At 47.4% G+C, this 17,930-nt stretch overlaps 1 protein-coding gene and 2 long non-coding RNA genes across 21 annotated transcripts in view; 2 read left to right on the top strand and 1 right to left on the bottom strand.

Annotated features, from left to right (window-relative positions):
- Positions 1 to 17,930, top strand: part of SNX29 (sorting nexin 29) — a 597,554-nt gene that overhangs the window by 389,940 nt on the left and 189,684 nt on the right. The window lies entirely within an intron of this gene.
- Positions 308 to 5,928, bottom strand: SNX29-AS2 (SNX29 antisense RNA 2). The gene is made up of 2 exons (NR_188406.1): positions 5,859 to 5,928; positions 308 to 796 (listed from the first exon to the last, which is right to left on the bottom strand). It is a non-coding gene; the product is annotated as an SNX29 antisense RNA 2 (long non-coding RNA).
- LOC105371087 (uncharacterized) lies at positions 3,833 to 9,374 on the top strand. Its single transcript, XR_933083.4, has 3 exons — positions 3,833 to 6,236; positions 6,329 to 6,355; positions 6,996 to 9,374. It is a non-coding gene; the product is annotated as an uncharacterized LOC105371087 (long non-coding RNA).

Genomic DNA, 17,930 nt, shown 5'->3' on the forward strand with positions numbered 1-17,930 from the left:
TTATATTCTGCATTTTCTCCCACTCTCTCCATTTCTCCTCCTGTTTTCGTGTCTTTGTTTCTTCTTTGGTCTCTGTGTGCTTCTCTTTTTGTTTTTCTTTTGTGTCTTTCTCTCCCTCTCTCTCCTTTTGTTTCTCTCTCTGCTCCTTTCTTTGTCTCTGCCTCTGTCTCTCTCTCTCTCTTTCTTTTCCTCTGTCTGTCTCTTCCCCCTGCCTGACTCTCTCTCTCTGTGGTTGCAATCCTCTCCCTCTCCCTTCCCTTCCACTCTCCCATTGTCTCCAGTTTAATAAAGATTTACATTGCTGTATGTTACCATGATAATTGCCATTCATTACAATTGCCCTGAAAAACTACAAAGCCTTTCCATCTCCCCTTCATCATCCAAGCCTTGTGTGTTTTGTGAGGGTCCCTGTGGAGTGGGCCATTGCCTGCCTTCCAGCATATGGCTGACCCCTGATGAGTGTTTCTGGAGCACTTTGTGCTGTGTTGTTTGCCACTCTGCAGTACCACTTGGCGTTGACTTCCATTTTCCCCTGTGGACCTGGAGCTTCCCTGAGACAGAGACTGTTGTCTTCATTTTCCTACCCTCAGAGCCTGGAACACGTAATCACTCAGGGAGCATATGACGTATACATCTGAGTGTACACCTGGAGTATCTCTGGCAACACTCTGTTCACTAGCACGTTCGATTATCCAGAAAGCTGCCTTCCTGTCTTGCTCAATAACACCTCATGTGGGTCCTCGCTGTGAGCCGTCTGTGTTACCTGGGGCACCTTGCTTCCTCTGAGATGACTGAGCTGATGGGAGAGAAAGATGAGTAATTTCATATCCAGGGATGAGATAGATGGAAAAACCCCATCCCAAGTTTTGTAATAAGATTCACTATACAATAAAATGCTCCCTGGGACTTTCTTGGTTTCTTTAAAACCTTCGGAGGGAGTGATCTCATTTGAGGGCTGATGCGATTTAAGTATGAAAGCTTAATAAGAAATCTATTTTTCTGCCGGGTGGCACTTGCCGCATAGCTAATGATCAAGTACCAAACTGTCTCCTGTCCCACGGCAATGTTAAACTTCGTGTTCCAAATTATAAGAGGCTTTTTAACTCAGCGCTTGGACATCCCTGTTTTAATCATCTGCCGTCTTGAAGGAGATTATTTTTAAAAGTGCCATTTAAGAGGGGCTACTAAAAATATATCTCACATAGAGGCTTAACTCAGAAATATTAGCCTTTGACACAAAATTATTTGGAAAGATGCTTGTGGAACCCACTTTAAACCTCTAGATCGAGAGAAGAAAAGCATCTCTTTGGGCCTAGCTGTGTTTTCCTGACCATGGCCAAATACCCCAAGTGATCACATGCTCCTTGCTGTTCATGCAGGTGCTTCTTGCACCTGGGGGGAGTTGGAAGTATTAATATCACAGAGCTTTCTTTTCTGATGCACTTGTGTGAAACTCATCTTTTACATGGCTTGCTCATCACCATGGGTGGTCAGTTTCCCCTGGGGACCCATGAGGGGCTGGACTCTAGGGTTTGAGTGGAGGAGTTTGGTTGTCCAAGGCATCCAGCTGTGGAACTTTACACTTCCCTGAAGATCAAAGTTTCGTGTCAGCTGGCAAATGCAGTGTATGCAAGCTTATCTTTAAAGCTGGTCCTATGTTGATGCAAATAGAAAGCATTGGCAAGGTGCAAAATAATCAAGATTTAGAAACTTGGTACTCTATAATGACTTCAGCTGTGAGTCAAGAGAGGCATTTTCCACACTGGCTTACATCGCCTGTCGGTCACTGTGTTTTGTGTGGCCACTTTACCCAATGTGAGGAAGACTACGGAGATGTAGCAGACGTGGAAAATACAGTCCCTGCCTTTGAGAAGGTCAAAGCCCAGAATATATTTTGTGTGACTTGTGTCTCTCTGGCTTCACTTCATGGTTATTTGGCATGGAGACAGAGGTCCTGCTTGGATAATGCTGAGATCTTTCCTGCCACTGATCCTGAAGGAATAGAAGCTGGGATTGGAAGGCAGCTTTTTACCCCTCCGTTCTACCTGTCCTGTCTTCTCTTCTCCAGCATATGTTTGTGAATGCATGGTTTGAGTTTGCCGCTCACAACGTCACCTGCAGGAGAAGTGACAGGCAGCGGCCACCAGGATTCTCCTGGGGCTCACGTGCCCCTTGTTCTCATTTTAGTTACCACCCATTCCTTCTTGAAATGGCCTCTCTGTTCTTTGAATTTCATCTGAACCGGGTGCACAGATATGGATTCATCAAAATCCTGAGCTCATGACCCACATTCATTATTGGTGCAGGAAGGCCTGCTCTGATTGAATAAGTAAGCTTCCTCTGATCTCATTCTTGGTCTCTTATAGAAACTGCCCCCAGACTCCACTCACCTCTCCCACAGGGAGTAATCTCAAGACCCTGGTTCTTTGCTCCTGCCTGGTATGCATGTTATTAGCATGTTCATATCTTTTTTTTTTTTTGAGACGGAGTTTTGCTCTGTCACTCAGACTGGAGTGCAGTGGCTCGATCTCGGCTCACTACAACCTCCGCCTCCTAGGTTCAAGCAATTCTCCTGCCTTAGCCTCCCGAGTAGCTGGGATTACAGGTGTGTGCCACCGTGCCCAGCTAATTTTTGTATTTTTAGTAAAGATGGGGTTTCACCATGTTGGCCAGGCTGGTCTTGAACTCCTGGCCTCAAGTGATCGACCCACCTTGGCCTCCCAAAGTGCTGGGATTACAGGCGTGAGCCACCGTGCCCGGCCGCATGTTCATATCTTAATATGATGTCATGAGCATGGGAAAGGGGTTCCTGTGCCTGGGGCAACCGCGTGGGACTCCTCTAGAAGCTGGTCTGGGCCAGGTCCTCTCCTGTACATGGTCAGGTGATGACACTGTCCTTGACCATTTCATTTCTGTCATCCTAAAAATGTGGACCCTCCCAGTGCTTTCCATTCTGTCTCAGTGCCACCTTGTAAATCTCACTGGCTATGACGCATCCCTCTAGATACTAAGTTAATTTGTTCAATTTCTGCTAAATTAACACACACAGTATTTCCAGGGATACATAATAACCACATGATTATGTTAATAGTTGTACAAGTCTTCTAACTAAATACATTATACTTATTCCTTAATTTAATATATTTATTTCCCTGCATTGAGGGTTCACTTCTTGTTAGTCACACCTTCCGCACAAGTTGCATCTGATGTTCTATGTATTTTTTGAACGATTTCTTCTTATTTGAAAAAATCTTTCTTTGAGGCCAGGCACAGTGGCTGATGCCTGTAATCCCAGCACTTTGGGAGGCTGAGGTGGGCTGATCACCTGAGGTCAGGCAGGAGTTTGAGACCAGCCTGGCCAACGTGGTGAAACCCTGTCTCTACTAAAAATACGAAAAAGTAACTGGGCGTGGTAGCATGTGCCCTTAATCCCAGCTACTCGGGAGGCTGAAGCAGAAGAATCGCTTAAATCCGGGAGGTGGAGACTGCAGTGAGCCAAGATGGTGCCATTGCACTCTAGCCTGAGAGACAGAGCAAGACTCCATCTCAGAAACAAAACAAAACAAAAACAAAAACAAAAAACAATCAACAACAAAAATAAAGGTGGCTGGGTGCGGTGGCTCACACCTGTAATCCCAGCATTTGGGAGGCCAAGGCGAGCGGATCACCTGAGGTCAGGAGTTCGAGACCAGCCTGGCCAACGTGGTGAAAACCCATCTCTACTAAAAATACAAAAATTAGCTGGGTTTGATGGCAAGTGCCTGTAATCCCAGCTACTTGGGAGGGTGAGGCAGGATAATTGCTTGAACCTGGGAGGTGGAGGTTGCAGCAAGTGGAGATTGTGCCATTATACTTCAGCCTGGGTGACAGAGCGAAACTCCGTCTCAAAACAAATAAATGAAGGTACATCTCTGCTTCCTTGTCTCTTGGGCCATCAGTCACGTAGGCACTTTGGGCGAGGCACTGAGCAGCACCAAGGGCATCTTCCGGCGTGTTCTGGGAGGCTTCCCCATCTCCCTGAAATGAGTTTATATAATCTCCTAGTAAAAGTCAATGCTGTTTCGCTGTGTGTTTCATGGAGTTTGGTTCCCTGGCCAGCTGGTCTGTGGGAACCAGAGCAGTTTGTGCCTAGATTCATTGCTGTCTCTTTTCTGGGCGACCAGCACGTTATGTGATTAGATGGGAATAGATATGTTTTGGTAAAGGGATCCCTGATTTAGTTGCAAAAAGCCAAGCCATTGGCTCCCTTTGACCTGTTCTTCTGGAAATAACCTCTTCTTGAGGGGTGGGCACCACCTTGGTATTACCTACACCCCAGTGTTCTTGGGCCACAGCTTTCTTGCCCATGAGGTCTGCAGAGCTGCCGTCCTGGTTTCTGAGGAAGGTGATTTTGTTGATCAGAGTTCAGATGGTGTTCTCCCAGATATTCGAAAATGGAGGGCCTTGTCCATCTCAAAGCGGTGGTTGGGGATGCAACTGATGTTGCCAGCCAGGCGTTGGGGATCAGCCAAGGCTTTTGATAAAGTTGGAAGAACTTCAAGCTCCTTTGGACCAACCTTCCTTCCTTCCTTCCTTTCTTTCTCTCTTCCCTCCTCCCTCCCTCCCTTCCTTCCCTCTTTCCTTCCTTTCCTCTTTCCTAAATAGAGACAGGGTCTTTCTCTGTCCCTCAGGCTGGAGGGCAGTGGTGTACTTATAGCTCACTGCAGCCTCAAACTCCTGGGCTCAGCGATCCTTGCACTTCAGGCTCCGGAGAAGCTGGCACTATAGGTGCATACCACCATGCCTGGCTAATTTTGTTATTTTTAAAATTTTTTTGTAGAGACAGGGTCTTTCTATGTTGCCCATACTGGTCTCGAACTTCTGGGCTCAAGCAATCCTGCCTCAGCCTCCCAAAGTGCTGGGATTATAGGCGTGAGCCACTGCACCCAGCCAGATTTTTATTTCTGTTCGGGGAGAGTGGCTTCCTTTCGTTTCTCCTGTCCAGGGTGTCATTGCCTATGCCAGCCTGAGTGTGTGGGCCTCCTGTGGGAATCGCCACACTGTCCTGTTAGAGCAAAGCTTGCAGCCAACTCTTGCCCCCAGTGCTGCAATGCAACGCAGATATTTTTTAGCTTTGTTTTAAAAATAATATGGCAGATGGCGAAGCAGGACCTGACTCTCGCCTTCGCCCTATGTCTTTTCGTCTGCTCTTTCTCCACCGAGTCCTGTCCCTCAGCATTTGCTCCTCCTGTTCCTTCTACTTCCATCGCTCTGCATTTTCACCATTTGTCTTTTAGAAGACATGGTTTAACATTTTTTCTAAGTTATATAAATAATATAAAAATACATTTCTGAAAGAATATAAATAATGCACAACTATCTAGAGTACAAAAGACAAGTGTTCCCTCCTAGCGATCCTGCTGTGAAGCGTTTGGTATATACCCTTCCAGGTATTTTTTATGCATTTGCATATAGGCAGGCATATATATACACACACACATGCCTAACGCACATCTATTTTTAACACAAATGGGATAATTTATACTGTTCAGATTGTTTTGAGACTTTGCATTCTTCAGTCATGAATATATGTCGACTTCCTCCTCTTTCACACTCTTCCAAATCTTCCCCATCCTTCAAGGTGTCATTCATTCTTTGAGAAAGCCCCTAGTGGCGCTGTCAATAGTGAGTTTTGGTAGGTACGTTTCTAATGTTCTTTAAATTCCTGTAATCCTCTTCCCCTCTGGACCGCTCACTTTGTCTAATCTTATGTTGTTCTTTGTTTATTCATTAGTTAATTAATTCCGTTGAGCTACACTCAGTTATTTGGCCCCCAAGAAGTTTGTCGTCGGTGGAAGACACAGACATACTAAACATACCTTGCCCTGGAGGTTCATGAGGGGGTGGTAGATGGCAGGCTGTTGATGCACAGTAGTTGAATGAAAGAATGAGCAATGAGTAAGAAATAGAATTCTGTAGGTATCAAGTATAATGATGGCACAATGGTGGGGTTAGTTACCTGCTGGGGTATGTCATGGAAGGTTTCAAAGAGGAGACGTTTGACTTGAGTTTTTAAGGATGAGTTGAAGTTGATCAGGAAGATGGGCCTGTTAGGCAGCGGGAATGGTGGTATCAATCGACATGGTTTGCTCACAATATTCTCATTGCTAGTTTCATGGATGTATCCTGTGGCTTCTCCATGAGATAATGAAGTTCTTGAAAGTGGGAGTGTCATTTACACTCCTACCTGCAGACAGGTATACTGGCACTTATTACATACCAAATCCTATTCCATGAGCTGTGCATGTAGTAGCAAGCACTGATGTAGGTTCTCATGTCTCCATTTTAGAGATGACAAGACTAAGGCACAGATAAGGTAGGCAATATCCCCAAGTCTCCATGTCCCCATGATTAGTAGGAGATGGAGCTGTAAGTCTCTTTTTAGAGTCTTCATGTCCTCACCTTTATTTCTTTACATTTTGTATTTTTAATTTTTTTAAGAGACAGTCTCGCTGTGTTGCCCAGACTGGAGTGCAGTGGTGCAGTCATAGCTCGCTGCAGCCTCCGACTTGTGGGCTCAAGCAGTCCTCCCACCTCAGCCTCCTGAGTAGCTGGGATTACAGGCATGCACCACCACACTTGGCTAACTCAAATTTTTATAGAGATGGGGTTTCACTATATGGCCCAGGCTGGTCTCAAACTCCTGGGCTCAAGTGATCCTCCTGCCTCGGCCTCCCATAGTGCTGGGATTACAAGTATATGAGCTGCTATGCCTGGCCCATATCCTCATCTTTAAATGGGTCTAGGAATGCCCACCAAAGAGAGTTGTATGAGGTTTTAAACAGTAAATGCCTCTAAATCATCCAAAGTAGGGAATAAAATATCAGCTTATATCATAAACTTGGTTAAAATAGCACTCTCCTGCTTTATTTTTCCTCATAATACTAATGCTACTTGGCATAGAGTTGTTTATTTGCTCTCTCCTTTGTCCATTTTATGTATGGCTGTGTCCCCAGCACCTGATACAGAGTATAAAGCATTGGCTGAATGCGTGAATCTTAGTTCCCGCTTTTCACCTTAGCATCCTGACTACCGATGCCCTGAACACACATGGTGAATTTGGCTGAAATGAAGCATTCTGTGCCTGCCCCACAAACCACCAAGGGACTGTGGGTTTATTTGTCTCAAGATGGTCAACACTGCTGTTTTCACATTTTACTTGCTGTCAAATATAAAGAGATATCATATGTTGCCCGCCTCTGGTTTTCCTGATGTCTCAATTTAAGTGGTTTCCAATTTGGGTATGAAATTATCCATCAGTCACAGAGAGAACTGGTGCCTTCAGCAGTGGCTGTTGGAATAAGCCAGGGCTTAACTGGGGAAGCTAATGGTGGAGGAGCAAGGGCTGGCTAGCAGAGGTTTGGCCCTGCTCCTCCAGGTCCCCTCTGGAATACCACTTCTCCCCACTGGATGGTGGGCTGTGTCTAGCCCATTCCCCAAGATCCAGTTTGGATGACACTTCACCTATTTATTCATTGGATGCTAATAGTGTCTTCCCTACGCCAGGGACTGACCTAGGCATCAGGGATGCAGAGAGCAGGCCTTGGTCACTGTCCCCTGGACTCACACAGTCTGCAGCCTGGTGGAGGAGACACCATGTGAGCTGAGCTATAATGACTGAATCCAGTCCCTCACCAGATGCAGTAACCTACAAGTGTCTGTTGCTCAGAATGTCTTTATTTTGATCAGTCACTTCCACAGAGGACTGCCCAAAGAGACGCCTCTGTCCAGCTCTCGGGTCTGTCTGTGTGGAGTACGAGGCGTGTAGCCCTGGTGATCGTAGAGTGATGTTAGATGTCTCAGGGTCAGGTGTTGAATAATATGGGCTCTGCTTGGGAAGGTGTTCCCCTTTTCCTTTTGGCCATGCTGGTGAGGTCTGAGGTTGATGCTAGCCCGGCTTTAACTCTTGGAGACCCTGACAAAGTGAGTGTGGGCCTCTGGGTCATGGTGCCGTCGGCCACTGGGAAGTTCCGAGCTCTCAGATGCGGCTGCAGTAGACTCCGCTCAGAAAGTCCAGACGCCTTGAGGCCAAGGCTCACCCCCAGATCAGCTGCAGGAGAATCTCTTCAATGGGACCTGGGCACCTCTCACTGTTTTGCATGATTCTGATGCTCCTGAGGTTGAGAACCACTAACACTTAGGATTTAATGACATTTGGCTTTCATCAGATCCAGTTGCCTTCTAGTGATACTGGCTTTCTGTTTGCTAGAGTGATACATACTTTCCTTTTTAAGTAAATGTTATAAGTGAAAAAAGATGAATGGTGTAATCCCACCCCAGGGTCACTTGAGCCCAGGAGCTCCAGACTAGCCTGGGCAACATAGTGAGACCCTGTCTTAAAAAAAAATGCATGGATTGAAAAGGCAACGTTATTCAGCAACAGTGCAAGTGGGAGGCGAGTGTAGCAAGAATCCTGGTGGTGCTTTGTGATGCACCGGGGTTTGGGGAACACTCCTCTAGATTTTATCCATGGATTGCAGTTTTAGCCCCCATTATTTTGGCGCCCATAGACTCATTGGGAATGATTTGACATTATGCCAATGACTCATTAAGTGCAAACAGCAGAAATAGCTAAATGAAACAATTTAGAAATAGCTAAAAGGTACAATTTAGTGATTGTATCTTTCTCTGTGTAACAAATTGTCCCAACACTGAGAGGAAAAAGGACATTTGGCAGTGACAGCATTTACCATCTCACAGTTTCTGTGGGCCTGGAGTCCTCGTGCCACTCAGCTGGTTCTCTCTCCAGGGTCTCTCCCAGGCTGCAACCACAGCCTCAGCCGGTGACTGCAGACACCTCAGGGCTCTCCTAGGGAAGGATCTGCGTCCAAGCTAACCCGTGTGGTTGTTGGCAGGATTCAGTTTCTTACGGACTCTTGGACTGAGGGCCTCAGTTACTCTCCAGCTGTTGACTGGAGGCCACCCTCGGTTTCTTGCCTATCCAGGCCTCTTCACTGCGGCCAAAGAAAGCAAAAGAGAGAGACCAACTAAATGGGAATCAGGGTGTTTTGTAGTCTAAGCTTTAGAGGTAGCATTCTGGCCGGGAGCAGTGGCTCACGCCTGTAATTCTAGCATTTTGGGAGGCTAAGGTGGGGGTGCATTTGAGGTCAGGAGTTCGAGACCAGCCTGGCCAACATGGTGAAGCCCCATCTCTACTAAAAACACAAAAATTAGCCAGGCGGTAGTTACACACGCCTGTGATCCCAGCTACTCAGGAGGCTGAGGCAGGAGAATCACTTGAGCCCGGGAGGCGGAGGTTGCAGTGAGCCAAGATCGACCCACTACATTCCAGTCTGGGTGACAGAGCGAGACTCCGTCTCAAAAAAAAAAAAAAAAAAAAAGTGGCATTCCATGATTTCTACTATATTCTACTCTAATCTGTTCATTAGGACAGAGGCAAGTCACTAGGGCCAAGCCACACTCAGGGGATTACCCAGGAGGTGAGGACCAGGAACCGGAGCCACGGGGTCTGTTTTAGAAGGCTGCACACCACAGGAATATCACTGAAGACAGCCCCCACGCCACGTCCCTGGCACCTTTACTGGCCCCCCGGGAGCGAGTTGTCACAGGCTGAATGCCAGGTGAAGCCGAGCAATCGCTAGTTATTTTATGGACGAAGTGAGTCTTACAACCGTGTTTGCACTGTACTTTGGTCACAAATCATCTGAGCCAAAATTACTGCTTCCCTGTAATTGATTATGTAGGAATGATTGATTGGTCGTATTGAAAATCTGTGGCAGGGGCCAGGCATGGTGGCTCATACCTGTAATCTCAACACTTTGGGAGGCCGAGGCAGGTGGATCATTTGAGGTCAGGAGTTTGAGACTAGTCTGGCCAACATGGAGAAACCCCATCTCTACTAAAAATACAAAAATTAGCTGGGCATGGCGGCTGGCACCTATAATCCCAGCTACTCAGGAGGCGGAGGCAGGGAGAATTGCTTGAACCTGGGAGGCAGAGGTTGCAGTGAGCCGAGATCGCACCACTGCACTCCAGCCTGGGCAACAAACCAAGACTCTGTCTCAAAAAAAAAAAAAAAAAAAAAAGAACAATTCTATGGCAGGAGTTTCTGCAGACTGACTCACCCTGGCCTCTTCTTCAATAACGTACTTTGTTTCCCTTCTCTTTCCTCTGTCTCTTTGCCCCGTTCTATCCTACATTGTATATTGTCTCACATGTCTGTAATTTCATGTCTTGAGGGTTGGTTTGGGGAACTTGGTTTCTGTGAATTTTACTCTGTCTTGGCTGTTGGTTTCTGAGGTCCAGAGGTTTTTCTGGTTCTGGGGTTTTCTAACCAGGAGAATGTGGGCAAGGCTTCCATTGAAAGCCCCAAATCAGCTGGGGTGAAGACGGGGATCAAGGACCTGGGAAAGAATGGCCAGACTTTCTGTGTTCTCCAGGCCTATACAAGCCTTTCTGCTGCAGTAACTATGTGGTTTCAGGCAAGGAGCTTTACGTCTCTGAGCCTCAGTTTTCACAGCTGTAAAACAGGGTGTAGTATATTAGTCAACGTAGGTTCAGTTGCACTGCAGTAAGAATCCCGTAATGTCCTGAACAGAAAACACATAGATTTCTGTCTCTTTCATGTCACTTGTCCTTCGTGAAGTTGGCTGGGCCACTGCTCTGTGTTGTCACCATCCTCACCTGCAGACCCAGGTTGTGGCAGAGGGGCAGGAGACATTGGCCAAGCACATTCTGACTCTTAAAGCTTCCACCCAGAAATTACATGTCACATCTCTCTTATTTCAATGGTAAAGCAAGTTCCACAGACACATCTAACTGCAGGTGGGTGGGGAGGGGCAGTCTCCCAGGCTCCTGGAAAGAGAGAGCATAGTTACTTGTGAGCGGTCTTGATCACTCAACGGGTAGGTTATGAGGCTTCAGGCAGGTAATAGATGCAGAGATGTGTGCGCCCGGTACGTAGTAGGCAATCAACAGATAGTAGTGCTGATGGTGGTTACGGTGGTGATGGGAATGATGCTGATTAGAGAACTAAAGCTTATCTCGGGCCTGCAGTTTACAAAACCTTTGTCTTCCTGAGCCACTCATTTAGCCCATGTGTGTTGAGTTTTTCAGTTTCCTGAGTTGTAGGTACCGTGCTTTGAACTCAGGATCAAAGAGAAGACTGCCATGGTCTGTGGCCTTAAATAGTCCACAATCTCTCCTTGGCAACAGGGATTGAGGGTTTTCCTTTGGGTTTTCATTTTCAGGCCTTGGCATGGTTAGGAAATCTTACAAATAAAATAAATGCTGGAGCTGGATGAGGCCTTTGGGATCATGGTTTTTGTATTAGGATGATTCCAGTGGAAGAAACAGAGAAGCCAGTACAAACTGGCCTCTGCAAAACAAGGAATTTTTTATATTAGATACTAAGAAAGTCCAGAGGTAGGTGAGTGCCTCATTGTGTTTTGTGTTGCTGCAAAGGAATGCCTGACACTGGGTAATTTATGAGGAAAAGTTTTATTTGGCTCACGATTCTGATGACTGGAAAGTTCAAGATTGGGTATCTGCATCTGGTGAGGGTGTTTCCACTCGTGGCAGCAGAAGGCAGAGGGGAGCTGGTATGTGCAGAGATCACATCGATAAGAGTGAAAGCAAGAGAGTGGGGAGGTGCCAGGTTCTTTAAAACAACCAGCTCTTGGAGAAATAAATAGAGGCCAGGTGCGGTGGCTCATGCCTGTAATCCCAGCGCTTTAGGAGGCTGAGGCAGGCGGATTACCTGAGGTCAGGAGTTCAAGACCAGCCTAGCCAATATGGTGAACCTTGTTTCTACTAAAAATACAAAAATTAGCCGGGTGTGGTGATGTGTGCCTGTAGTCCCAGCTACTCAAGAGGGTGAGTCAGGAGAATCATTTGAACCTGAGAGGTGGAGGTTGCAGTGAGCCGAGAGGGCTCGGTCCCCAGCACCCAAACACCTCTCATGTGGCCCCACTTCCAACATTGGGGGATGAATTTCAACATGAGGTTTGGAGGGAGCAGGCATGCCAACCATAGCAGCAAGTGTCAGCTTCACGGTGACCCAGAGACCTGGGATATCATGGAAACCTGGTACATTTCTGCCTGACTCCGTTCTCACTGCTCCCTTCCGCTCCCCCAGCCCAGTCCGTCTCCCCTCATGGAAACAGCAGTCGCTGCAGTGTTCTCAGGCTGTTTAGACTCAAGAGAAAGAGCAAGTCTCTGCCCAGGGTTGCCAGCAGAAACCCCCAGATTCACTCTGAACCATGTTAGTTAATTGACCCATCCTGAACCAGTTACTACGGCCAGAAGGACAAGATATGCTGATTGACTGAAGTCAGTTAGTGCTCACCCTTGGATCACATCTCTTGGAAGGATGGTTTCCCAACAGGAGAGTGGAGGTGGGGGCAGCAGACAGCCATACTCCACTCCTGTTTCCTGCCCCTTCTTTTCTTCCTTTTCTTAAAAAAATAGATAATGAACTTATTTATTTTTGAGACAAGGTCTTGCTCTTTTTCTCAAGCAGGGGTGTAGTGGTGAGTCCCTGCAGCCTCACCCTCCTGGGGTAAAATTATCCTCCCACTTCAGGCTCCTAAATAGCTGTGACCATGCCTGGCTAATTAAAAATTTTTTTGTAGAGTTGGGGGTCTCCGTATGTTGCCCAGGTTGATCTTTAACTCCTGGGCTTAAGCGATCTACCTGCCTTGGCCTCCTAAAAGTATTGGGATTACAGGCGTGAGCCACTATTCCCAGCCATTTTCCTTTCTTTAGGGAAGAAATTGAAGCTCAGAGCAGGGAAATGACTTGGCTGCTGCCACTCAGCTTGTTAGAAGCAGGGCAGGCCATGGGTCCAGGACTGTGCCCTTTAGCCACTTTGACTCAGTTCCAAAAACATCTTCTCAAAGAGTCATCAGTTTCAAAAGGGTATTGGGGAAGCAGTGATAAAGGGAGGTGATTATAAAAGGGATGTTAATTGCACTATGCCTGGCATTTTCAATGAGCAGAACTTTGTTGTTTATTGCTTATTGACAGAAGAGATGAGAAATGAGGCTGATTTCTCTCTGGCAGGGCTGCTGCTTGGGTTTGATCACTGTGAGCAACAGGTCAGGGCTCTAATTGAGGGTTTTGGTGATTGGCTTCCTAAGTCATCGATCCCGGTGAGTGGGGCCTGCCCAGCAGTGATGAGACTGTTGTTTAGCTGCTGATGGGAGGCACTGGTGTGTGTGTTTGGGGGCATGTGTTAACTTTTCCATATGAATATTTCTGGAAGGTACTTTTTTGGAATTACTGCTAGGCTTCAGTATTGAATGTCACAGAGCAAGTTGTCCAGGAGGCAGATTCTGGTATATGACCTCTTGGTGTTTGAAGACAGAACTCCTAAGAATTCCCTCTTACTTTCTGCTGCCAATGCCCTAATTTCTTAACCTTGCAGAATGGAATTATCTGGAAGCTGCACCAGCACATGAGACCCCAGGAAGAGTCCTTAGCTGACCTAAGGGCTGATCAGAATGACCTTGGTCTCGGTTCCAGGGGTTCAGAAATGTAACTGGATCAGGAGGGTACAGGCTTAGACAATCTGAGGTTGAGGAAGGCCACTTACCTGTCCAGACTGTTCTCATCTACCCCCCAACACCCAACCACCCACCTATCATCCACCCACCCATACCCCCCACCCACCCATCCCTTCACCTGTCATCCCTCCACTTATCCACCCACCCACCCACCCCTCATCCATCCACCCACCCACCCACCCCTCATCCATCCACCTAGCTACCTACCACCCACCATCCATCCACCCACCATCCATCCACCCACCCACCATCCATCCACCTATCCACCTACCCACCCCTCATCCATCCACCTGTCCACCTACCACCCACCATCCATCCATCCACCCACCATCCATCCATCCACCCACCCACCATCCATCCACCCATCCACCATCCATCCATCCACCCACCCACCATCCATCCATCCACCCACCATCCATCCACCCACCCACCATCCATCCATCCACCATCCACCCATCCACCCACCAACCATCAATTCCATCCACCCGCCATCCATCCATCCATCCACCCACCATCCATCCACCCACCCACCATCCATCCATCCACCCATCCACCCACACACCATCCATCCATCCACCCGCCATCCATCCACCCACCCACCCACCCACCATCTATCCATCCACCCACCATCTATCCATCCACCCACCATCCATCCACCTACCCACCATCCATCCATCCACCCACCATCCATCCATCCACCATCCATCCATCCACCCATCCATCAATTTCATCCACCCACCATCCATCCATCCACCCACCCACCATCCATCCACCCACCCACCATCCACCCACCCACCATCCATCCACCCACCTACCATCCATCTACCCACCTACCATCCATCCACCCACCCACCATCCATCCACCCACCCACCCACCATCCATCCACCCACCCACCCACCCACCATCCATCCATCCACCCACCATCCATCCATCCACCCACCCACCATCCACCCACCGACCCACCTACCATCCACCCACCCACCCACCCCTCATCCATCTACCTATCCACCTACCACCCACCATCCATCCACGCATCTGCCCACCACCCATCCACCCACCCATTATCCATCTACCCACCCACCCATCGTTCATCTCACCAACCAACCCATCATCCAGCCACCCACCCACCGACCCATCATCCACCCACCCACTCATCATCCATCCACTCACCCACCCATCATCCACCCACCCACCCATCCATCATTCATCTACCCACCCATCATCCATCCACCTATCCACCTAGCCACCCACCCACTCATCCACCCACCCACCCATCATTCATCCACCAACCCCCCATCATCCATCCACCTATCCACCCAGCCACCCACCCATCATCCACCCACCCACTCACTCATCCATCCACCCATCCATCATCCATCCACCCACCCACCCATCATTCATCCACCTATCCACCCACCCACCCACCCCACCCATCATCTATCATCCATCCCCCCACCACCCACCCACCCATCGTCCATCCACCTATCCACCCAGCAACCCACCCCACCCATCATCCATCCATGCACCCATCATCCAGCCACCCACCCACCCATCATCTACCATCTGTCATCCATCCACCCACCCATCATCCATCCACTCACCCATTATCCATCCACTCACCCACTCACCCATCATGCATCCTCCCATTCACCCCCACTCCCGTCATCCATCTACCCACCCCACCCACACATCCGGCATTTCTAAGAGCTCATAGAGTAGTGGATACAGTTGTGCAAATGAATTTAGAAAATGATTTGTACCTAAAGTCATCACGTTCATCATGAGGAATATGTCTTCAAGCAGCTTCCAAAACCCAGCCATCTGAAATGACCACCCCTGCCAATGAATAACACCCGGGTTCCACATCAAGGGAGGCAGCAACCCTATTTGACCCCTACCTCTCATTCATTCAGGAGGTATTTGCCGAGCGCCATGAGGACCTGCGATAGACGACACCAAACTCAATTTTCATTACTCCACCAGCAGGGAAGTCGTATTTCCCTGTTTTCTAACTGAGAAAAGCGAAGGTTAGAGAGGTCAGGTGCTTTTGTTAAGATAGCAGAGTCATGGTGTGAACCTTGCTCCGTCGGACCCCACAGCCATGGTCTTGTAAGTTGAGTTATAACCTAGTGCGTGGACTCTGGAGCCCACACTGCCTGCTTCCAGTCCTCACTGTGCCACTTAGAGCCCTGTGCCCTTGAGCAAGTTAAGTCAACTCTCTGAGTCTATTTCCCCATCAGTAAAATGAGAATGATCATGATATCTACTCCTTAGGAGGATGATGTATAGAAAAATGCGTAACGCAGGGCCTGGTGCTGAGCATGCGGTTACCTGATGTTAGCTGCCAGTGTTAGTTTCTTAGAGCTGCTGTAACCAATTACCATAAACGTGCTGGCTTAAAACAACATACGTTTATTTGCTCGCAGTTCTGGAGGCCAGAGTCGGCAATCACGGTGCCAGCAGTGGCAGGGCTGTGTTCCCCCTGGAGGCTCTAGGGGAAGATCCTTCCCTGTCTCTTCTAGCCTCGGGTGGCTCCAGGCATCCCTTGGTTTATGGCCGTGTCACACCAATCTCTGCCTTTGTCTTTACTTGGCCTTCTCCTGCTTCTCTCTGGTGCCTCTCTGTATCTCTCTTATAAGGACACCTGCCATGGGATTTAGGGCCTACCTGGATAATCTAGGATGTTCTCATCTCAAGAGTCTGAATTACATCTGCAAAGACACCTTTTTCCACATTTACAAGTCACATTTATAGGTTCTGAGGCTTAGGATGTGGACATATCTTTTTGGAGGACACCGTTCGACCTACTACAGCTGCTATTATTTAAAAAATTTTTTAGAAGATACAAGTAATACATGAAGACATTCTCAATATAAGCCTTTAGACATTAAGTTAAGCATCTCTTTGGCCATCGCTGTCACCTCCATTCCCATCCCCTGAGGTCACCATTGTGATGAGCTTGGAGCTTATCCTTCCAGACCTTCCTGTTAGGGTGGAAAGATACATGCAATCTTTACATACAGGGATTATTGTCCTGTTGCCAAGCACTGGGATAGGTCTTGGGTATTCTGAGATAAGACATAGCATTATAAGAATATTATTTAAAAAAGCATCTTAAACACTTCACTATATACATTACAGTTCGGTGACCACCGAATTAACACTGTTAATAGTGTAGCTGATGAGTCACTTTCTTTTTTTTCTTTTTTCTTTTTGGGACAGAGTCTCGCTCTCTTGCCCAGGCTGGAGTGCAGTGGTGCGATCTTGGCTCACTACAACCTCTGCCTCCTGGGTTCAAGCGATTCTTCTGCCTCAGCCTCCCGAGTAGCTGGGATTACAGGCGCCCACCACCACGCCCAGGTAATTTTTGTGTTTTTAGTAAAGACGGGTTTCACCACGTTGGCCAGGCTGGTCTCGAATTCCTGACCTTAGGTGATCTCTCCACCTCAGCCTCTCAAAGTGCTAGGATTACAGGCGTGAGCCAGCACGCCCAGCCTGATGTAACATTAAAAAAAAAAGATACGTCAACTTTCTTTTTTTTTTTTTTTTTTTGCTATCAAATACCATATCTTATTCATTCTTGCTATTTTTTGTACCCATTAGCCATCCCTTCCTCCGCCCTCCTCCCTCCACTACCCTTCTCAGCCTCTGGTAACTATCATTCTACTCTCTGTCTCCATGAGTTCAATTGTTTTCATTTTTAGCTCCCACAAATAAGTGAGAACATGAGATGTTTGTCTTTCTGTGCTTGTTGTATTTCACTTAACATAGTGGCCTCCAGTTCCATCCATGTTGTTGCAAATGACAGGCTCTTTTCTTATTAATGGCTGAATAGTACCCCACTGTGTATATGTACCACATTTTCTATACCCATTCATCTGTTGGTGGACATTTAGGTTGCTTCCAAATCTTGGTTGTTGCAAATAGCACTGCAGTAAACGTGGGAGTGTGGATCTCTCTTCAATATACTGATTTTCTTTCTTTCGGGTATATACCCAGCAGTGGGATTGCTGGATCATATGGTAGCTCTATTTTTAGTTTTTTGAGAAACGTCCAAATTTTCTCCACAGTGGTTGTGTGAATTTACATTCCCATCAACAGTGTACAAGGCTTCCCTTTTCTCCATATCCTCGCCAGCATTTGTTACTGCCTGTCTTTTGGATTAAAACCATTTGAACTGGGGTGACACGATATCTCATTGTAGTTTTGATCTGCGTTTCTGTGATCAGTGATTGGAGCACCTTTTCATAGACCTGTTAGCCATTTGTATGTCTACTTTTGAGAAATGTCGTTTCAGATCTTTTGCCTGGTTTTTAATTGGATTATTAGATTTTTTTCTTGTTGAGTTGTTTGAGTTTCTGATA

This window comes from Homo sapiens, chromosome 16 (genome assembly GCF_000001405.40).
Source record: "Homo sapiens chromosome 16, GRCh38.p14 Primary Assembly".
Classification (NCBI taxonomy): Eukaryota; Metazoa; Chordata; class Mammalia; order Primates; family Hominidae; genus Homo; species Homo sapiens.